Source organism: Homo sapiens, chromosome 11 (genome assembly GCF_000001405.40).
Source record: "Homo sapiens chromosome 11, GRCh38.p14 Primary Assembly".
NCBI classification, from domain to species: Eukaryota; Metazoa; Chordata; class Mammalia; order Primates; family Hominidae; genus Homo; species Homo sapiens.
This window is the reverse complement of record NC_000011.10, coordinates 12,151,311-12,171,763: the sequence shown is the minus strand read 5'-3', so window position 1 is coordinate 12,171,763 and position 20,453 is coordinate 12,151,311. Positions and strand designations below refer to the sequence as shown.

The 20,453-nt window shown below is 46.6% G+C and overlaps 1 protein-coding gene and 1 non-coding gene across 23 annotated transcripts in view, besides 2 other annotated features; both read right to left on the bottom strand.

Annotated features, from left to right (window-relative positions):
* The window catches only part of MICAL2 (microtubule associated monooxygenase, calponin and LIM domain containing 2), a 251,551-nt gene that overhangs the window by 190,377 nt on the left and 40,721 nt on the right, over nt 1-20,453 (bottom strand). For all 22 annotated transcript variants that reach the window (NR_144419.2, NR_144417.2, NR_144420.2 and 19 more), the window contains 1 exon segment: nt 9,345-9,685. Coding sequence is in view for 16 of the 22 variants with exons in the window: in NM_001393937.1 (NP_001380866.1) it covers nt 9,345-9,608 (264 nt within the window). In the remaining 6 variants the exon portion in view is untranslated.
* Nucleotides 4,288-4,582: an enhancer, noted in NCBI's record as "tiled region #10887; HepG2 Activating DNase matched - State 8:EnhW, and K562 Activating DNase unmatched - State 5:Enh". NCBI's record gives its function as "activates a minimal TATA promoter and a strong SV40 promoter by Sharpr-MPRA in HepG2 and K562 cells {active_cell/tissue: HepG2 | K562}" and the evidence as "EXISTENCE:reporter gene assay evidence [ECO:0000049][PMID:27701403]".
* Nucleotides 7,841-8,340: an enhancer, noted in NCBI's record as "H3K4me1 hESC enhancer chr11:12184971-12185470 (GRCh37/hg19 assembly coordinates)". NCBI's record gives its function as "activates a minimal SCP1, AML or CMV promoter by ChIP-STARR-seq in primed H9 embryonic stem cells {active_cell/tissue: H9 hESC(primed)}" and the evidence as "EXISTENCE:reporter gene assay evidence [ECO:0000049][PMID:30033119]".
* On the bottom strand, nt 7,997-8,081 carry MIR6124 (microRNA 6124). The gene has a single exon (NR_106739.1). It is a non-coding gene; the product is annotated as a microRNA 6124 (primary transcript).

The following is a 20,453-nucleotide window of genomic DNA, read 5'->3' as shown; positions in this document are numbered from 1 at the left end:
TCAGAGAATATAGCTACTGAACCTCCAGCCACTGCCTCTCTCCTCACTTCTCCTTAAAAACATAAGCCCCTATTTGTTTTCGCCTCTGGTCAGCATCTCAATTACCTGCAGCTGAATGCACTCTTACAAATTCAGCGCAGGAGAACAACCTGAGAATCAGGCTCAGTGAACTGCCCAGGACCTTCCCTGTGGCAGGAGGCTGAACTGAACCTGGTACTCCACCCTGTTGAGTAGGAGATAGACAGATACATTCACATCAAGTGGGACAATTATCTGGTCAAGGAATACACTGATTGCCAAGATATTTTTAATTGTGGGAAAAAAACAAAGCAGAACAAGAGTCTCCAGTGAGCAAGGAAGAGGGAAGCCAGGGTTTACCTTTTAGTCTGGGAAGGAGAGCGTTAAACTGCTTCATGGTTTCCTTTCTCCCTGCCCAGAGATACACATTTATTTGGATAATCCTGGCCAGAGACTCCCTAGGGCCTTGTACAACCCTGGGTGGGCCAGGAGCTGCAAGAGGGTTTTCTTTTTTTCTCCAAGAAAAGGGAGGCTCAGTCTTCCAGCTTCACAAGCCTATTGGCTAACTTCCCGTCTCTTTTGAAAGCTCCACGGGCAGCCAGATGCTAGTCAAGGGCCAGACAGGGCTGTGGCCACCATCCCCACCCTGCAGGGAAGGAATGCTCGGATGCAAACTTGGACAGATGCTTAAATAAGGAAATGAAAGGATTGTCTGGTTTTGTCTTCCTCAAACCCACCATCAAAGCTTGGAAACACCGGGGCTCACATAGTAAAGCTCCAGAAAGAAGCCCTTTGAGCCACAGAGTTCGCTCCTCTATCCCTGTGCATCTTCCCTGTGCCAAGCCCTGTGCTGGGGACTTGAGACGCGGGGATGAACCAGGCATGCTCCCTGTCCTTAGGGAGCTCACCGTCAAAAGAGACAAAGCCATCAATGTGGGGCACTGATCAGCAAGATAGCAATAGGACCAGAGAATCTAGGAGCCCACTGGGGCACCAAACCCAGATTGGGGATGGAATAAGAGGAGGCAATGGGGAGGAGATGGTCAGGGAAGGCTCCCAGGAGGAGGTGGTGTCTGCTTGAACTGAATCATAAAGAGAACAAGTTAGCCAGGCCAGGTCCCTGTTCAGCACTAATAGGACAGATCCTCCATGGGCCAGGGCCCTAAAGTCTCCCATTATTTGATGAAATTTTCAAGAGAAATATAAGTGCATTTGATTTGATACACTTATAGGTGTTCTTCTCTTAAAGAACATTCACTTTTACTGATACAGCAAACTTTTTTATTTTTATTTTTTTGAGATGGGGTCTTGCTCTTCACCCAGGCTGGAGTGCTGTGGCACAATCACGGCTTATTGCTGCCTTGACCTCCCAGGCTCAAGTCAGCCTCCCCACTCAGACTCCCCAGTAGTTGAGACTACAGGCATGCACCATCACACCCGGCTAATTTTTCTATTTTTTGTATAGACGGGGTATTGCCATATTGCCCGGGCTGGTCTCGAATTCCTGGGCTCAAGGGACCCACCCACCTAGGCCTCCCAAAGTGCTGGGGTTATAGGAGTGAGAAATGGGGACTGACAAAGTAAACCTCTTAATGAAACGATGTATATGGAACTGTGTTGTGAGCTGTAAAGCACCACGCAAATGTTTGGTGGTGGTAATAAAACTGTTGTTGTTACAAGGATGGCAGTAATCCCTGCCACTTCACTGCTGCACTGCTCTTCACCCAGTGGCCCCATTCAAGGTCACCTAGTCCAGGCTGCAGGACTCAGAGGGTGTCTATCAATGCCCACTCAGCAAAGCCCGGGAAATCTAAGTAGGCAACATCTTACTGCACTCTCTTTTTAAAGAAGGGCTCTTCTTGGTACTCCCTTGCACTATTGGTGGGAGTATCCACTCCAGGGAGGAGAATCTGACAATGCCTATAATTTTTAAATGTAGCACACATACCCTTTGTCTCACAATTTCACACGTATACAAACAAGTGTGGTTAAGGAAATGCACTGCAGCACTGTTTAAAATGGCAATAGACTGGAAATAAGCTAAGCTAAAGAAATTGTGCTATAGACGGTGTGGTGGCTCATGCCTGTAATTCCAGCACTTTGGGAGGCCGAGGCAGGCAGATCACAAGGGCAGGAGTTTGAGACCAGCCTGGCCAACATGGTGAAACTCCATTTCTACTAAAAATACCAAAGTTAGCCGGGCATGGTTGCTCACGCCTGTAGTCCCAGCTACTTGGGAGGCTGAGGCAAGAGAATCACTTGAACCTGAGAGGCGGAGGTTGCAGTGAGCTGAGATCATGCCACTGCACTCCAGCCTGGGTGACAGAGCAAGATTCCATCTCAAAAATAAATAAATAAATAAATAAAAGAGATGGTGCTATTGTGCTATAGCCATAAAATGAGAAACCATAAAAGACATGAATAAAAGAGTTAGATCCACACCTACTGAGATAAAGCAATCTCAAAGATATATTTTTCAGTGAAAAAAGTTCAGAACCAGTGTAGAAAAAAATGTGTGTAGATTTTTTTTTCCCATTAAGAAAATAAAGGGGGCAGTGCATGCATCCATAACACACATCCACAAACATGCAGAGATTTTCAGGAAGGTCACAAAAGAAATGGGAGAGTACTTGCCTCTAGGAAGGAAAACTGGGGGAGTGGAGAAAAGAAACTTCTTCCACACTAAATTTTCTTTCCTTTTTTTTTAAATTAGCTTGGCTTAGGCTCAAATCCACACTGTCTTGTCTTGTCTTTTTTTTTCTCTCTCTTTTCTTTTCTTTTCTTTTTTTTTTTTTTTTTGAGACAGGATCTTGCTCTGTTGCCCAGGCTAGAGTACTCTGGTGCAATCATAGCTCACTGCCGCCTTGACCTCCTGGGCTCAAGCGATCCTCCCACCTCAGCCTCCCACGTAGCTGGGACCACAGGCACGGTGGGGTGCACCACCCTCAGCTAGTGAAAACACATTGTTTTCTCACTGTGTTGGTCCCACTTGCCCGGTCTCACCCTATATTTTCTTACCCTACTTGAGTTATTTTTTATCATGAGCAGGCATTTTTTTCAAAGAAACCTTTTCTTTTCCTTATAAAGAAAAAGTATATATATAAAGAAATATATATGGAAATATATAGATAAGTATGGGGGCAGAAATATATATTTATATATACATATTTAAAGAAATATATATGTGTCTATGTAAAGAAATAGATATGTGTGTAGTGTGTGTGTGGTGTTATGTATGTGTGTGGTATGTATGCATGTATATGTGTGTATAAGTGCATGTGTATGTACGTGTGTGTGGTGTGTGTATGTGTGTATATGGTGTGTGGGGGGTATGTATGAATGTGTGTATGGTTTGTGGTGTGTGTAGTATGTGTGTGTATGTGTGTATTTGTGTATATATGTATTTGTATATATGTATGTGTGATGTGTGTATGTATGTGTGTATGGTGTGTGGCGTGTGTGTATGTGTGTGGTGTATATGTATTTGTGTATCTATGTGTGTATGTGTGTGTGGTGTGTGTATGTGTGTATATGTGTGACTAACTGTATGTGTATGTATGGTGTATGTGTGCATAAGTGTGTGTGTGTGTGTGTGTGTGTATTTGCTGTAGAGACCAGGTCTCACTATGTCGCCCAATTTGGTTTCGAACTCCTGGCCCTGAGCATTCCTCCCAGCTTAGCCTCCCAAAGTGCTGGGGTTACAGGCGTGAACCATCCCACCTGGCCTAGTTTTTTCATAAAAAGACAAAAAAGTCTTTATTTAGAAATATATTTATAAAGTGAACTCAGTAAACCTGGATTAACAACTTCCTATGAGGACAGCTAAAAAGGAAAGTTTTTTCTTCTCCATATGACATTGCTGTGAATTGGATTTACTCAAGCTCACATATAATGCCCAACACACACACTCATGCAAACCCCACACATTCCATGTGCAGCTGTGGTAACAAATGCAACCATTGGTACAACCCGACTGGCAATCCAGGCTCAGAAACATGTTCAATGTTGCAGGGCCGGCAGTCTATTGTCAGGTAAGCAGACAAATCCAGAGTTCTTTTAAGCTTTTTCTTCAACTCGCACAGAGTTTCACACCCCAGGGACCATCTTCTGCTTTATCGGTTATGACTGGAACTGCCCGTATCAGGCAAAGTGGCCCTTGAAGTGTCTGAGCCAGCGCAGCCATGATGGATGACTTCAGAGGTCGGGAATGTCAGACAGGTTTATCCAGGCCAAGGGGTAGCAGTCTTTGCTCCCGGTGTCACCCCTTCCACCCCTAACATCCTTGCACCCTGCCTCGCTGCCTCCCTGTGTGATCTACGGAGGAAACTGGGGACCATAGGGCCGTCTGGCCCTCGAGCACAAACCGGGGCCTGGGCTACACACAGGGGAGGGGCCCAGGAGCAAAAGGTGTGTGGTGACCCTGCTGCATACTCATAAAATACAGTCACATCCTTCTAAAAAGATAACGCAAGAGTTTTCATTACATACGCTGGCCTGATTCCTGCTGGTGACAAGAGTCCATGAGTCATTTCCTGCGAGTTTTTATGGCAACAATGTACAAATACCCCCTGGTCTGTAATGGTACCTGTGATTACTGAGCAATCCTGTGGGGAGTGGTGGAAAGAACCCTGGACAGGATTGGGAATCAGGGGCTCATTGTTAATGGTTTCCCAGGTCCTCTGTTTGAGTACGAGACCCTCTGTTCACAGCCTGGACCAGGAGGCGTTTTCCTCCAGCCTTTCCTACCATCCATCCACTCTGTTCTCTCCGGCTTTCACCCTTTCCCCGCACCCCACACACTCCTCCTTTCCCATTACAGAGCAACACACTCTCCCTAGAATATATGCACTCCCTTTAGCTGTTTTCTCAGCTCTACATGGCAAACTCCTACTCATCTGCCAAGCCCCACATTAAACCTCCTCTTCCAGGAAGCGTTCCCAGACTACCCCTGTCACAGTCAGTCATTTGCTTTTCTATCCTCCTGCAGACCAGTGTACATACCTCTCTCATAGCTCTTAAGATATTAATGATAATAAGGGCTAAATGTTTACTGATCACTTATCAGAATGCTAGACAGCCTTCTACACTTTACAAAGGTTACCTTATTTAACTCTCATGGTAACTCCATGAAGTAGCTACTCTTATTATCCTCATTTTACAGAGAATGCTACTGAGGACCAGAGATATTAAGTAACTTGCCCAAGGCTACAGAGCTATTACATAGCTAGACAAATGCCTGACACATAGTAGCTGCTCAATAACTATTCACCTGATGAATGATTAATTAAAGTGAATACAGAAATAATTACATATCTGTCTTCACATAAAGCTCAAGTAAGAACCACATCTTATTCATCTTCCAAACTATCCTCTCTGTCAAATGCCTGGTAAGGTGTAGGGCACTGGAAACACCTGCTAATGAGCAAATAAACAAAAGAATATAAGAGCAAACCAGTAAATAGAGTCCAAATCCCAGTAATGCCACTCTCTTCAGCTTTCTGGACCTCAGTTTGTGGCCTGTTAAATGCAGAGATTGCACATAACATCTGCTTAAGTTCCTTCTAGCATTAAAGATTTATATATAAAGATAACCAGAGTCCAAAATTTTGTGATTATAGCATTTCCCACACCAAATTACATATTGCAGGTTCTTCTGGGTCGTTTTCCTCCGTAACACTACTCAGTCGGGTGTAACATTCGAGTCAGGTGTTACCCTAATACAGAGCCAGTTATCAATCCTGAAAGAGTTCATTTGGCATGATCCTCAGTTCACCCTCATTCTTATCCAAACACAGTCACGCCCAGGGAAAGAATTATTAATATTCAGTGCCAATAATACCCTCATAAATAATCATCAATAATAAACAATAATCCCAAGTGAGATTTTGGAACTGGCACCTGAGCCACTGCTCTAGAGAGCTCTCAGGCCACTCTGCTTGTCCCCTGACACCTCCATTAGAGCCCGTCCTTCTTCTCCAAATAGATCCTGGTCCCCAATCTCTCACCACTGTCACACGCACGTGTGTATACACGCACATATGGTGGCACGGAGGCAGGAGCATGGTGCTCAGCATATGGCAGCGGCTGATAAATGCTTGTGAAATGCTAAAGCCCAGACCCACTCCAGGTGGTGCTGAGATGCATCCACTTTAGCACAAAGGTCGGGGTTCTGGCTGAATTACATTTATTCTTGCTCTGCCTATGGCTAACCAGGAGCTTGGCTTTATGCCTGGTACCTGACAAACCTGTGTCATCTGGCTTAGCATTAATGATCAGCCACATGTATGCAAATGCCCAGCATTTCTTCCTTGACTAATGCTCAGCATAAACCATGACACCAAAGGATGCCTGAACATGGTATGTGAGCAAGACAGTGTCTGTTCATGTTGGAAGAGGTGAGGACCCCTGTTCTGTGTTTTGACTCACAACAAGGAGTACAAGCACCGGCCTCATGGAGCTGGCCATTAACCACCCACACATGAATGTGATATGCCAGGGGCCTGTATCATGGCCAGAATACAAATCAACACTCACTGTAGATGACACCCATTTTTTGTGTGATTTTTTTATTTCTTTCTTTCTTTCTTTTCTTTTTTTTTTTTTTTTTGAGATGGAGTCTCGCTCTGTCACCCAGGCTGGAGTGCAGCGGTGTGATCTCAGCTCACTGCAACCTATGCCTCCTGGGTTCAAGTGATTCTCCTGCCTCAGCCTCCTGAGTAGCTGGGACTACAGGCACTTGCCACCACACCTGGCTAATTTTTTTTGTATTTTTTAGTAGAGATGGGGTTTCACCATGTTGGCCAGGCTGATCTCGAACTCCTGACCTCAAGTGATCCACCTGCCTTGGCTTCCCAAAGTGCTGGGATTACAGGCGTGAGCCGCGACGCCCAGCCAAGGACACCTGTTGATTATCTGTCTCACACTCCCACATCCTTGGGGATTTGCTCCTCCCTCACATCAATCATGTGATGCTTGAAAGGGCTGCCAATCACAGTAGCCAGTTCCTCTGGCTTTGGCCATAATAAATCCAGAAGTGGGCCAATTAGAATCCTTCTCTGAGGTTTTTTTCAATATTGACCTGGAAGAGACAGATTCCAGCCTTTTGGAATGGAGCTATAAAGATGTGAATGAGAGGCTTCGAACATGGAGAAAAATGTGTTTGCAGGAGGGAAGCATGGAGCCAATAGAGAGCAAAGCATCAAAGCACCCAAGTTAAGGTCAGGACTTAAAGTGTCTGGACCTTCCTGTTAATATGAGTCAATGATTTTCCTGTTCTTTGTGGTTATTTTGAGCTGGGTTTCTGAAAAGCACAGCTCAAGTAGCCTAACACAGTCACAGTTCATACTTACAATGCATTCTCAAATGTATCTTCCAGTCCTCAGCATTCAGGCGGTTTTTACGAGATGGGTTATCTCACATGTGAAATGTCTTTGTTCTTCCTCACAAGACAGGCATAAAAATTCCTGGGCAAGAGGCACCTTACCCAGCATCCCTAACAAAAGGAGCTTTCTTTCCCTTTGCATCACAGAAGCCAGTGGTGACCTGCCAACCACAAGATGTGATGACTGTTCTATTTCAAGCTACCAAAGCTTGTAAAATAGAGGCTGGCCACACCAGCTAGGCAACTGGCTAGTATGTTTTGGAAGAAGGGTCTCTTCTTGGTGGTCAGCCCTCCGTTCCATCCCTCTGCTGGCTGACTCCCTGTGACAATCTGTCTTCAGATCACCAAGAGGGTCCCTCAGCAGCCACAACATGTTGGGTGTATGGGGCAATAGCATTCCCTAATAAAAACCAGAGCTCTGAAAACCCTCTGTGAGAGAACACAGTGCAACTGGGCCACCTGACTTTTATGGGACCTTTAAAAAAAAGAAGCCACCATATACAATTACTAAGAGGGATGACACTTTGGAAGCTAAAAGCTTCCCCTCCTTTAACTCTGAAGAGCCACCCCGTGAACTCTGAACCATGAAGTCACAACAACGAGGAAGGGAGGCACTGGGCAGGAGTGGCACCCAGGACATTGGTCTCACCTTCTCCTCCCCCTTCCTTTTCCCTACCTCCCCCATCTCCTCTGCCTAGCTGGAGCATGGTAGGTTATAAACAGGCACTGCCTGGATAGCTAGTCTGCTCTGGGCTGAGGCGACTGGTCTGTTTCAACCTGATGGAATGCTTTTCCTACGTCCCGCAGTGTCAGTGTGCCCCAGGCTCACAGGAGCTTGGCAGCTGTCTCCCCAGGGGCAGTGGAAAGCAGCATATCCCATGGTGGACTCGACAGCTTCTCACCACCAAAACAAAAACACAACAGTCCCGACTGCCATGGAGAGTTCAATCCTCTTGTCCCGGGATTGGCACCGGCTGGAATTCCTAGGGTTCTAGCTGAGCTACCTCCTGTGAGGTCTAAATACAGCACATTCGATTTTAACCTAAACACACAGCCTGCACCAGTGCTCAGGGCTGGTAGTCCCCAACGGCCACCAGGGAAGTCAGCTGAGACGCCTGGACTCCCACCTGCCCATCTGGTGCTGGGCATTTCAGAAATGTCAGAGAAAGGTTGCGATAGTGAGCCTATGTTCGCCGATGCTGTCTATGGCCAAATGATGGGGGATGCAACCAGTTCGTGTAGGCTTAACTATGAGTGTGGTCCTAGGTAGAGAAATGCATCCTGAGGAAGGGAGTGGGCAGGTGGAGAATGCAGGGGTATCAGGAGGAAGAGAAAGAGACAGGGAGGAAGAGGCAGTAAGGACCTAGACCTATTTCTTAGCCAATTAATCCAAAACCAGGGGATCTTTCTAAAATGTCCACACCCAGGCGAACACAACTCTGTAACTATGCCTCTCCCTGAGATTTAGGTCTTAGGCCCTAGAATCAGATGGACTAAGGTTGCCCTCTAGTTGTGTGACCTTGGGCACAACTGACTTCTCAATTTCCCCATCTCTAAAATGGCCTGAAGGACTGCTGTAGCTGTTCATTGAAATCATGGACATAAAGTACCTTGTACCTAGAAGCTGCTCAACAAATAGCAGCTACTAGAAGTAGTAGTAGTGGCAGCAGGGATAATAGAAGTGGGGGTAATATCAAGCATGGGCTTCTCTCCCTCAACTTTGCCTCTGGCTTCCCTCCCTTGGAGAGGGCACGAGTGGAGGGAACCTCCCAGCCAGGAAAAGCTGATGCTTAGAGACAAAGGAAACCTTTACCGGAGGAAAACAATGCAACATTCACACCCACACCTAAGAACCGTAGAGTGCCAAAATGGCAACAGCTTCCTAACCTCCCAAATGTCAACCCACACGCCCTGCAAAGGTAAGACTAGGAGGGTTTCCCCTTACCTTGGTGTTCGTGCACGACTTCCCTCGCTTATACTCTTTGTGGGAACCACGCTTATCCAATTTGTACCACAGGGCTTTGGCTTTCCAGGTGGTCACCTTGGACTTGAGCTTGGAATAAAAGTTTCTGTGGTCCAGAGGGTCTAGGTCCAGGTGTCGTGTGAGAATGTTGAAGGCCTGGAGGGTACCTTTGCACGTGGATGCCTGGACAAAGTTCTCAAAAACCTGCCCCGCCTGGGCCTGCTTCTCATCCTCGTTTTCCCCCATGGTTCAGGAGTCGTGTGCGGCAGTGGTGCGGCGAGGACACAGGTGAACAGCATGAAGTATCTGGAGAAACGTCACACCTGTGAAAGTAGGGGGAGGCAGAGGTCAGCTTTGGACGATGAGGTTAGGGTGGGGGATGGGTGCTGAGAAGTAAAAATGCAATTTCTTTAAGACATTCAAATATTAACCACACTATTTAGTGTTCAATACTAAACATAAATATTTATAACAGATACAGAATTGTGCCTTTTGGCCTGTCGATGTGGCATTGCAGGTAATCTCTTCCCCTATGCTCTGCTCCTCTTGCTGGCTGAAAAGTACCACAGATTGCACAGGGCTATGCCCTGGCTAATGCCAACAGTACCTAGTCAATCTTGCTCTAAGCCAAGTGGTTCTGCAAATAGTGACTAGGAAAAGGGAAAACAACCCAGAAAAGTACACTATATATAGCACCATTGAAAGTCTATCATTCTCGGTGCTGCAAATTGGTTGGCTGATGTGAATATAACCCAGCCACATTACACTAAGGCACAGACAGAAAAAACTCCAGAGAACATCTCTCTAGATTTCATGACTGCCCACCTCTCCGTAGACACCCAGCTTTAAAGCCTTTCTTCATTCGTTACCAGAGAGCAGGGCTTTCCACTATCCACATGACAAACAGTCTCTTCTCAAAACTTCTGCTCCTGGTATCAGCTGGAAGCACACCATCTACCTCAGTCAGACTCACAGACAGACAGACAGAGACACGTGGACCTCCTCCGCCTGTGCAAAGGGGGCCTGTGCTTTGTAATTCCAGGCTGTGAGCTATTTGGAACAAGTGCTCCGGCTCATGGAAGGGAAAAATGCGATGGGTGCTCATTCACATCCCAAAAATAGCTTGCCTGGGCTTTGGCCATGGTCCTTTCTGCACCATTCTAACCTCAGACATTTCTTAGGAAAGTCATTTAAGTTTCAAAGGAACAAAAATAAAGTAGAGCTGATTTTCCAAAGCACTAGCTGTTTTTCCAGAATCCAAAGCTGGCACAAGAAAACAAATGTGGAGGAGCTGGGGCTGACCCAGCTGTCAGGAGGGCTGGAGGGGTCTCTGAGCAAGAGGGCACAGCAGACCGAGCTCCACCGATGAGGCCTGGTAAGAGGAGGTCAGCAGCACACAGAGCGCAGGCCTCACGGCAGCTCTGTGCTCCCCAGAGGGGCAGTGTTCATCGTGGACAAGTTGGAATTGTGGGACGGTTTTATAATACTAAAAGCAGAGAATGGTGTTTATCTTCCTCCTTAATCTCTTACTTATTCACTCAGCAACAATTACTGGTGCATTAGCAAGAGTCGGGCACCACTCAAGGGGCCGGGAATACGTAGGCTCAGGCCCCGCCCACAGGGGCAGATGGATTACAAGACCACAGGCAAGTGCTTGTGGAATATGAACCAAGGGCATGGAAGCCCAGAGCAGGCGGTGTCCAACAGAGCCTCGAGGAGTCCAGAGGGGCCACAAGAGAGAAATCTCAAGAAAGCTTCAATTTTAGGAATGAGATTTATTTTACTAGAAGACTGGGCAGTGGACATTCCAGGCCATGGAAATACCCACACAGGGATGTGAGTGTGGAAAGAGCGGGACAGTGGTGGAATGACAGCAAGTTCAAGGTTCAGGATTCGTGAGGAGGTGCGGTGGGGATGTCCAGCGCACGTGGTGGCAGGTGTCCCCTCCAGGCCAAGGAGGGGGACTGGCCTCTCCAGTGGGTGGTGAGGAGCAGAAGACAGAGGAGCAGGAAGAGACAAGTCTTTGGGAAGATGATAGGGCAGCAGTGGACTGGAGGAGGAGGCTGGAGGCAAGGAGGCAGCTAAGGGGCTGTCCAGGCAGCAATGAGAGGAGCCGGAAGAGAAGGGGGAAGAACAGCACATGCAAAGGAGCATAGGAGCCCACTGGGCACCACCTGCCAGGAGGAGCCTGCTGGGGCTGGCGAGGTCTCAGACACTGGATGCCCAGACTTGGGGGTGACAGGATCCCTGCAACTTTGTAGGGCCCTACCCGACCTTCCCTCTTTCCCGGAGAGCTTCCGAGGTGCCTGGCACTATGCTTGGCTTGAAGGGAGACTAGCACTCATTCCCTGCTCAGGCCTGGCCAGCTTCCCTGCCCTACCCAGGCTGGGTCCTCCATGAGGCCTTACCCAGTGACCCCGGTCTATGACACTCAGCAACTTCAGTAGACTGGGGAAGGGGGCTCTGTGCCCTGCCTGGTGCGACAAGCGTGGATTCCTTCACAGATCCTCTCTGGGCTCTGTGAGCGTCCACTGTGCTTACTTGGGCATGACTCACATAAACACTGCCTCCTACTATGTCTCCACTTTCCCCATGTGCAATGTTGCCACCCAGAGAGCATAAACAGAAGGAAGGACTCATTTGCTTTGCAGATCGTATTAACATTCTCAGTCTTTATCTATCTTTGGAACCACTTCTGTGCCCAGCATTGAACAAAGGCTGCAGTGGCTGGCCGAAAAACACAAGGCTATTTGAACTTGCCTGCTACACTACAGTCTTTTCTGAGGACAGGCAAGCAGTACAGAGAAAACTGTAAGGCTTCAGAGCTATTGCCTCACACAAGCCACTTCTGATTCTCAGTTCCCTTACTGTAACAGACAAATTATAATCTCATCCTTGCAGGGTAGCTGTGAAGGGCAAGAAACGTGGATGACGGCAGAGCCAGGTCCTGGCAGGCACTCAGTAGATGTGGTAACGCACACTGCATCTACCACAGGAGGCAGATTTGTACCTGGGGAAATGTACCAGTTTAGAAAATAGTCTTGTAAATCAGTTCTCCAAGTTGCCAGCTCCTCCTTGTCTAAAATTATGAACAGTTTAGAGGCATCAAGCCAGACAATAATTTACAAACTGGAAGAAGCTGTCTCCTCCGCACCCCAATCAATGGCCACCCCTCCTCCCCTAGAAGAAGAATGAACAACTTCGTCTTCGGGCTCCAGTGGAAAAAGAGCTAAAGGTGGTGCTGAGGGCTGGATAGGCGTGGGAGCTCCAGGAACCAGCCCTTATCTAGAGTGAGATAAGGGGAGGTGGAGGGAGATGGTTTGACAGGAGAAGATAAGCGCAGCTTGGATATGTAGCCCAGCAGCCTGTACCAGGCTCAGACTTGCCACCCTGGACCTAAACACCCATCTCACCCTTTACAACTGGCTTTCCAAGTTAGGTCACAGACCTTAAAAATGACTCTAACACCCATGGCGGGTAGCTTTCCTCGTGGGATTAACATCAGAATATTTAGAGTCAGGGTAACCTGAATGTGAATCTGCTCTCAACACTTGCTAGTTTTGTGACCCTAGGCAAGTTACCTCATCCATCTTGGCCTCAGTTTTCTCATGCGTGAAATAGGGATAATACAGGCTTCCCTCAGTAACCATGGGAGATTGATTTCAGGATCCCATGCAGATACCAAAATCTGTAGATGCTCAAGTCCCTTATATAAAATGATGCCATGTTTGCATATAACTTACACACATTCTCTCGTATACTTTAAATCATCTCTAGATTACTTATAATACCTAATACAAGTGCTATGTAAATACTTACATTGCATTGTTTAGGAAATAATGACAGTAAAAAAGCCTGTACATATTCAGTACAGATGAAATTATCTGTTTTTTTTTTTTCCTGAATATTTTCAATCCACAGTTGGTTGTATCTGTGATGTGGGACCAATGGATGCAGAGGGCCACCTGTTCTCCTCACTTCATGGGGCTCTAAGGAATCAGTGAGATCATGTATGTGATAACCAATACTCATTACGATTCTTCAAACAGCCCAAACATCATCATATCAAAAGGAAGGGCAAAAGAAACATCATTCAAGACTACTGAGACTAGCTTTCTGGGTCAAGGAGTTATATACAGGTTGAGTATCCCTTATCCAAAATGCTTGGGACCAGAAGTGTTTTGGATTTCTATTTTTTCTTTTTTTTTTAGAATATGTCCATCATACTTACTTGGTTGAGCATCCCAAATCCCAAAATCCAAAATCCAGAAGACTCCAATGAACACTTCCTTACAGCATCATGTCAGCACTCAAAAAGCTTCAAATTTTGGAGCATTCTAGATTTCAGTTTAGGTATAGTCAACCTGTATACTTTAAAACTAGAGGACAAGGGCCTTCCATTTAGAAGGTCTGAGTTCAAACTCACTTCCTCTCTGTGTAGACTTGGACAACTCATTTATTTTTTGGGTTTTAGTTTCCCATGTATAACTAGGGAACCTCATAGAAAGTAGTTTTGGTAATGAACTGAAAACATACAGAATTCAGGACAGTGCTGGGAATGAACTGGGAAGGGCTGACCTAGCACTCAGAAGGACTCAGTGATTCTGAGCTTCAAACCTTTCTTCCAGAGAACTGGAGTGCAAAACCTTTGGTGGCTATCCTTCCCCTCACCCCAAAAGAACGTAGTCAGGATTTTTTTTTTTTATCAGAGGATCCTGGTAACTAGCTCTTATTAAAGTTTTCCTTGTTAACCACCACCCAGCTGTTGCCCTTTTGAGGTTTGATATGCAATAGAAATAAAACCAACTAGCCAGAAATATGAGGCTTTCTGCATTTTCTGGGAAGAAACAAGATGTGATGCTTTAAGTTTCCAAGAATAGCCTTGAAGCAATTTGGTTTTTGCCAAGTGGAGTCTCTTATTTGTGGTTCTTCTGCTCCCCTGCCTATGTGACTTCATGAGTCACAAAGCAACTTCCTTTCCCTGCCTCTAGCTGCTAAAAATTATAATTAAGGGCCCCAGATTGCAGGCAACAGCATTGGTAATGGGCTAAGCCCACAAAATCTGAGAGTCAAGCTCAAGGTTTATGCAGAGTCCCTGAGCACCTCTCCAAATGAGAGGAGGAGCCTCCCCATCCCGATCTGCAGGTGCCCTCAAATTTAGGACTCTGATGCCTCTTGCCTTCCCTGAGCCTCTTCTCCCAAATGGCATATCAGACAGTGCAACCAGGGTTTTGATAAATGATGGATTTTATACAAACTTAAGGAGATATGGGGGTGGACACTAGGCAGAACCTTCCCACAAAGCAGCAGTTTGCCCAGGAGAAAAGCTCATTTTTCAACCCACCCTTGAGGCTCACAGACAAAATCTGTTTCAAGGTCAATGCAATCCAAAAACAAAACCCATGTATACTGCCAAGCAGCCCTGTTCAAACTTACCCTCTCCCAGCTCTACGTCACTAAGGAGCTCTGGAGGAAGGCCCAGGTTCCTTGGCGATGAAGTGGGGTGTTCCCCCCACACTCGCAGGGTGCTCAGGAAACTAAAAGCTCCAGCTCTAACTCTCGCACACAGAAGACCTTCAGTTATGGCCATCTGAATCCAACACCTGAGATGAGGCAGGAGCCAGCCAGGGGCTCAGCAGTGCGAGATGCCTTCCACACCTGGTGCATCCCCACAGAGCCCACCATGGGCAGGAACACCTGGCTCCCAGGTGGGGCCTACAGACCCCATCTTCCCACCTGGCCCAGGTAGGGCTGGCTTTCCACCTACCAGGGCACTAGGCACCCAATTTAACCAAAAGGAGCACTTCCAGGGTAGGGAAGGGACTGAGAGGGCCACTTTGTCTTCTTGGTAATCTCCTTCCATCCAGGTGTCCCCAGCCTGGCCTCGGTCACTTCCACAAACAGAGGAGCGTGTACTGCCTCCTGGGGCTGCCTGCTCCACCCTTGCCTCCTCTGGAAGACAGCCTCAGTGAAATAATTCTTCTTAGTCATTCCCCAGAAAGATAAGTTCCACTTCTCCAAAGCCTTCTCTATTGCTCCTGGGTGTTGCCTTGAGATCACCTCCAGGAAGCCCAAGCCCCTTTCCATGCACACTGAAGGCACACATGGAGAGTCCTCTTATACATGCTGTCTGAAACCCCTACTACGAAAGGCCAATGAAAGAGCACCCAAGAGACTCACCACGAAGCTCAACCAAGTTTCCAGGAGGTAGCAAGGGCCCAGACCTTCCCCCTTTTGCCACACAGCCTCAGGGCTGGAGTGCTGGGGAGAGACCCCAGGTCCACTGCAGGCCCTGGCCTTCTATGCCCGCTCCTTCACTGAGAACCCAAGTTCTTTGGCTCTTGCCCTTCTGGCCCCAACCCTCTTCCCCACTCCTTTTCAATAGTTAGTAGACTCCACTGGTCTAGCTTGAAGGCGCCTCATACATTCCCCCTTCCTCACCTCATCCATTGCTTCTTATAGCCACTCAACAGTACCAGGCGCCGGGAGGTCCCAATGAGGCAGTGCCCACCCTCCAGGCCTCCCGTCCTGGCATCAAGAAACATCTGTATGCTGACCAGTCACAGTGCTTGGAATGGCAGAAGGAAGCCAACGTCATCAGGGCCCAGTACCACCCAGGCACTCTCACCAGTGTTAACCTAAGGAATCCTCAAAACACGTCTATGTGGACGTGGGGGAGGTAAGACTTTTTTCTTTCTTTTTTCATTTTTATTCTGCAAAAAGCAAAGGCCTTAAAAAGAGAGAGAGAAGTAATTGCAGAAGTTGCCTATCTTCCTTTTCTGTAACACAACTATGTTTGCCATGTGTGATTATTTCATGTATGTATATATGTGTGCATGTGTGTATGTATGTGTGTGCATATGTGTATATATGTATGAATGTGTGTATATGCGTATGTGTACGTGTGTATGTTTGCAGGGGTATACATGTGTACATGTATGTGTATATGTGTGCATGTGTGTATATATGCATGTTTGTGTATATATGGTATATGTGAGCACATATGTATGTGTATTCATGTGTGCGCAAATACACATGTATATGTAGCATGTGTATGTACATGTATGTGTATATGTGCGTGTGTGTGTATGTACATGTATGTGTGGTGAGTATGCAAATATATCATATACATATATATATTTAAAATTTTCCATAAGGATTTCTAGCCAGCACTCCATATCTTCATCTGTACCTCTTCAAGCTCTGTCTCTCTTCAAGGACCTTCCAGAACAGGGGAAGCCTTTGAGGTGGAAAGAACTCTGGCCTAGGCATGAGGATACCTGGGTTCAAGCCCAGCCCTCAGCTTGCACCGCCCATGTGAGGACACTGACAGCGGGCACTCACAGTGTACCAGGCCTTTACCATCCTGTCTCATTTCACCACCCTTGTTTGATAGAAGACAGCTTTACAGAGGTGAGTAAATGCCTCCATATCATGCAGGCAGCTAGTAGGGGTGCTGTGAAATGAGCCCAGGCCATTTCACTTTGAAATCCATGCTCTTAGCCCCAGTCCATATGAGCCATATATACAGAAATAGTATGGTCTTCCTTTTCTGAAGCTGCTATGTAAATTAAATCAGTTAACTTCTATTGTCTCTCAAGTTATTCTGGGCTTGGAGAGTCTACAAGTATCAAATGAGGCATGGTCTTATAAGTCATGGTACAACCAAACAAGTATCAGGCAGTCCTTTAAAAATAATATTTATAAAGACATTTAATCCATGGGAAAATGCTTATGCCATAATGCAGAGTGAAAAGAGCAGGATATGGATCCAGAAAGTCAATACAATTTCAACTCCATAAAATAATGTCTAGTGTCTGTAGGAGAAGAGAAATAAGCCAGATGTGAACAGTGGTGATATGTGTGTAGGATCGCATTTCAGATAGCTGTTAGTATACTTTTACTCTATACTTTTCTGTATTTCCCAAAGTTTCTACCAGGAACATGCATGACTTTTACAACCCCTCTTACATACACATTCCAAGGCCAGGAGTCTTCTTTCCCTGACTGTCCATCTCAACAACAGGAGGTGGGCTTCCTGTATCTTATCTTCTCCAGGCCTAACAAGCGCTCAGGTCTTGGTGGAACTCAGCACCTGGGCCCTTGTGTGGCTACACAGCACTAGCAATGTGATCTTTCTCCAAAACAGAAAGGGTCATCCTGCATGAAACCCTGACATTGTGCTAATTTAAGGAATTAGCTTAAATGTTAACAGGTCAGGGCTAAGTCCCCCAAGGCTGTGTTCCTTCCAGCAGCTCCACTCCCGAGGGACTACAGGGCCCTTGCATCCAGTGCAGCAGGTGCCTTCCAAAGCCCATGCTCTCCCACCCACATTCCAGAGCAGAATGGGAAAGGCATTGCCTCCAACCCAAATCTCCAACCCAAATCTCATTTCCTGCAGGATCCCCTGCTGGTGAAGTCCCCAAGAAGGAAACCTGTGTACCTGGTTGACAAAGTAACGTACATCTTACCCCACATGCAGAGCTCATCTTACCAACAAAACCTTTGCAGACACTTCTGCATGTGACCTGAATCATCTTGATCCCACATTGGGTGCCCAGGAAAACTGTGAACTCTGAATCCCAATTTCTAGGAGGCCAGCCTATCTCAAAACTAACAGTGAGAGGTGACCACAATAAGCAAATTCATAGAGACATAAAGTAGAATGGTGGTTACCAGGATCTGGGGGAAGTGGGGAATGGAGAGTTATTATTAAATAGGTGCAGACTCGAGGTCAGGAGTTTGAGACCAGCCTGACCAATATGGTGAAACCCCATCTCTACCAAAAATACAAAAATTAGCTGGGTGTGGTGGCACGTGCCTGTAATTCCATCTACTGAGGAGGCTGAGGCAAGAGAATCGCTTGAACCTGGGAGGTGGAGGTTGCAGTCAGCCAAGATTGCACCACCGCACTCCAGCCTGGGTGACAGAGCAAGACTCCGTCTCAGAAAAAAATAGGTGCCAACTTTCAGTTTATTCTGTGGAAGGATGGTAGTGATGGTTGCATAACAACATGAATGTACTTAATACCATTAAATCTTACAATTAAAAATAGTTAAAATGGGCCAGCCACAGTGGCTCATGCCTGTAATTCCTGCTCTTTGGGAGGCCAAGGTGGGAGGATTGCTTGAGTCCAAGAGTTCAAGACCAGCCTGGGCAACGCAGTGAGACTCTGTCTCTACAAAAAAACAAAGAAAAATTAGCCGGGTGTGGTGGGGTGCGTCTGTGGTCCCACTTGTGGTACTTGGGGAACTGAGGTGGGAGGATTGCTTGGGCCCAGGAGGTCGAGGCTGCTGTAAGCCATGATCATGCCACTGCACTCCAGCCTGGGTGACTAGAACAAGAGCCTGCCTCAAAACAAACAAACAAAAAAAAGGTTAAAATGATAAATTGTATGTTATGTAAATTTTACCACAAAAACAATAATAAAATGCAAACAAAAAAAAAAACCCTACCACCACTACCACCATCACCACCTTCTATAAGTGGGAGCTGCCCAAGGCCAGGGAATAGAATCTGTGGTCTAATTAATAATCTTGCTAACTTTCTGAAATACTTTTGAGTTAAAATACAATAAACAAAATAAATCATTAGGTCAATGAAAGACATTTGCTGTTTTTTATTGGTTCAATGAAATATTTTTTACCTCTTTTTAAAAAGTCATCTAGGCTTCTCTCATTCTTTCCAAATCTCATTTGACCGCAGGAAGCCCACCAAAGCTCAGCCTTGCCAAGTTCCCCATTTTTATCTCCTATTCTGTCTTCCCCAGACTCTCACCACAGGTACACTCCTCCCCCACCACTCTGCACCTGTGAAATATTCTTCAACACCCCAGGGAAGGTTGGGCACCAGTTCCCTGGTCTTAGCTCTCAGGGCCTACCATACATCGCCCTACCCAGGAAGAACACTCAGACCCTGTGTTCCAACAATTCCTATACAGAGTGGGTGGTGCCCTAAATAAGCATACCCATATTGCTCCCACACAAAGTAGATGGGGCCACAGGCACACAAGCACTACTGTCTTGCACACCACATCAGGATGTAGTCTTTGGTCTAGACCTTTGATTCTTTTTATTCTTTTTTTTTTTTTTTTTTTTTTTTTTTGAGACAGAGTCTTGCTTTGTTGCCAAAGCTAGAGTGCAGTGGTGCAATCTTGGCTTACTGCAACCTCCACCTCCTGGGTTCAAGCGATTCTCCTGCCTCAGCCTCCCAAGTAGCTGGGATTACAGGTGCCTCCCACCAGGCCCAGCTGATTTTTTTTTTTTTTTGTATTTTTAGTAGAGACGGGGTTTCACCATGTTGGCCAGGGTGGTCTCAAACTCCTGGCCTCAAGTGATCCACCCTCCTCGGCCTCCCAAAGTGCTGGAATTACAGGCATGAGCCACCAAGCCCAGCTAAGACCTTTGATTCTTAATACTCTCCTGCCCTTCTTTCATCAAACTCCAAAATGCTAGGATCTATAGATCAAATGAGAACAGCATCCAATCCACCAGTGAAAGCTAAGCTGAGAGGTGTCTTTGGAGCCTTGGTGGGTGTTGTGGAGATGAGCTAGCTCACCACCAGCTGGACCGCTCCTTCCTCCTGGACCCTTGCTAGCAGCTGTGAGTCCAGGTGACCAGGTTCTAAGTCATGGAATCCAAGCAGGAGTGGCGCATGCCACTTCTAAGACCGACCCATAAGAATCCCCCATAGTGGTTTTTGGTGCCTTTTCTACTTCTGCCAGGGCACAAAGACCTTGGAAACTGTGTGTTGAAGTTGGTGAGCCACAAGAAGGAAGGGACCCAGTCCCCTGGATGCCTGCATGGGGGAAAGCCCTCTTTGACCAGAACACATGTTTTGGACTTTACATATGTGAGCTATAAATATGCAGTATGCGAAGTCACTGAGAACTGGGAACTTATCTCTTAGGCAGGAGGCATTACCCTAGCTAATACAGTAGGTATTAGGAGTGGGTATGTCAAATTTGGCCTGGATCAGAAGGCATTCCTTCCCAATGTGAAGGTCAACCACATGGGAATTAAGATGTCTCTTACCCGACTGTTGCAGGCCAACTTCCAATAACAACCGGGTCCGTCATTTTACATTTTACCT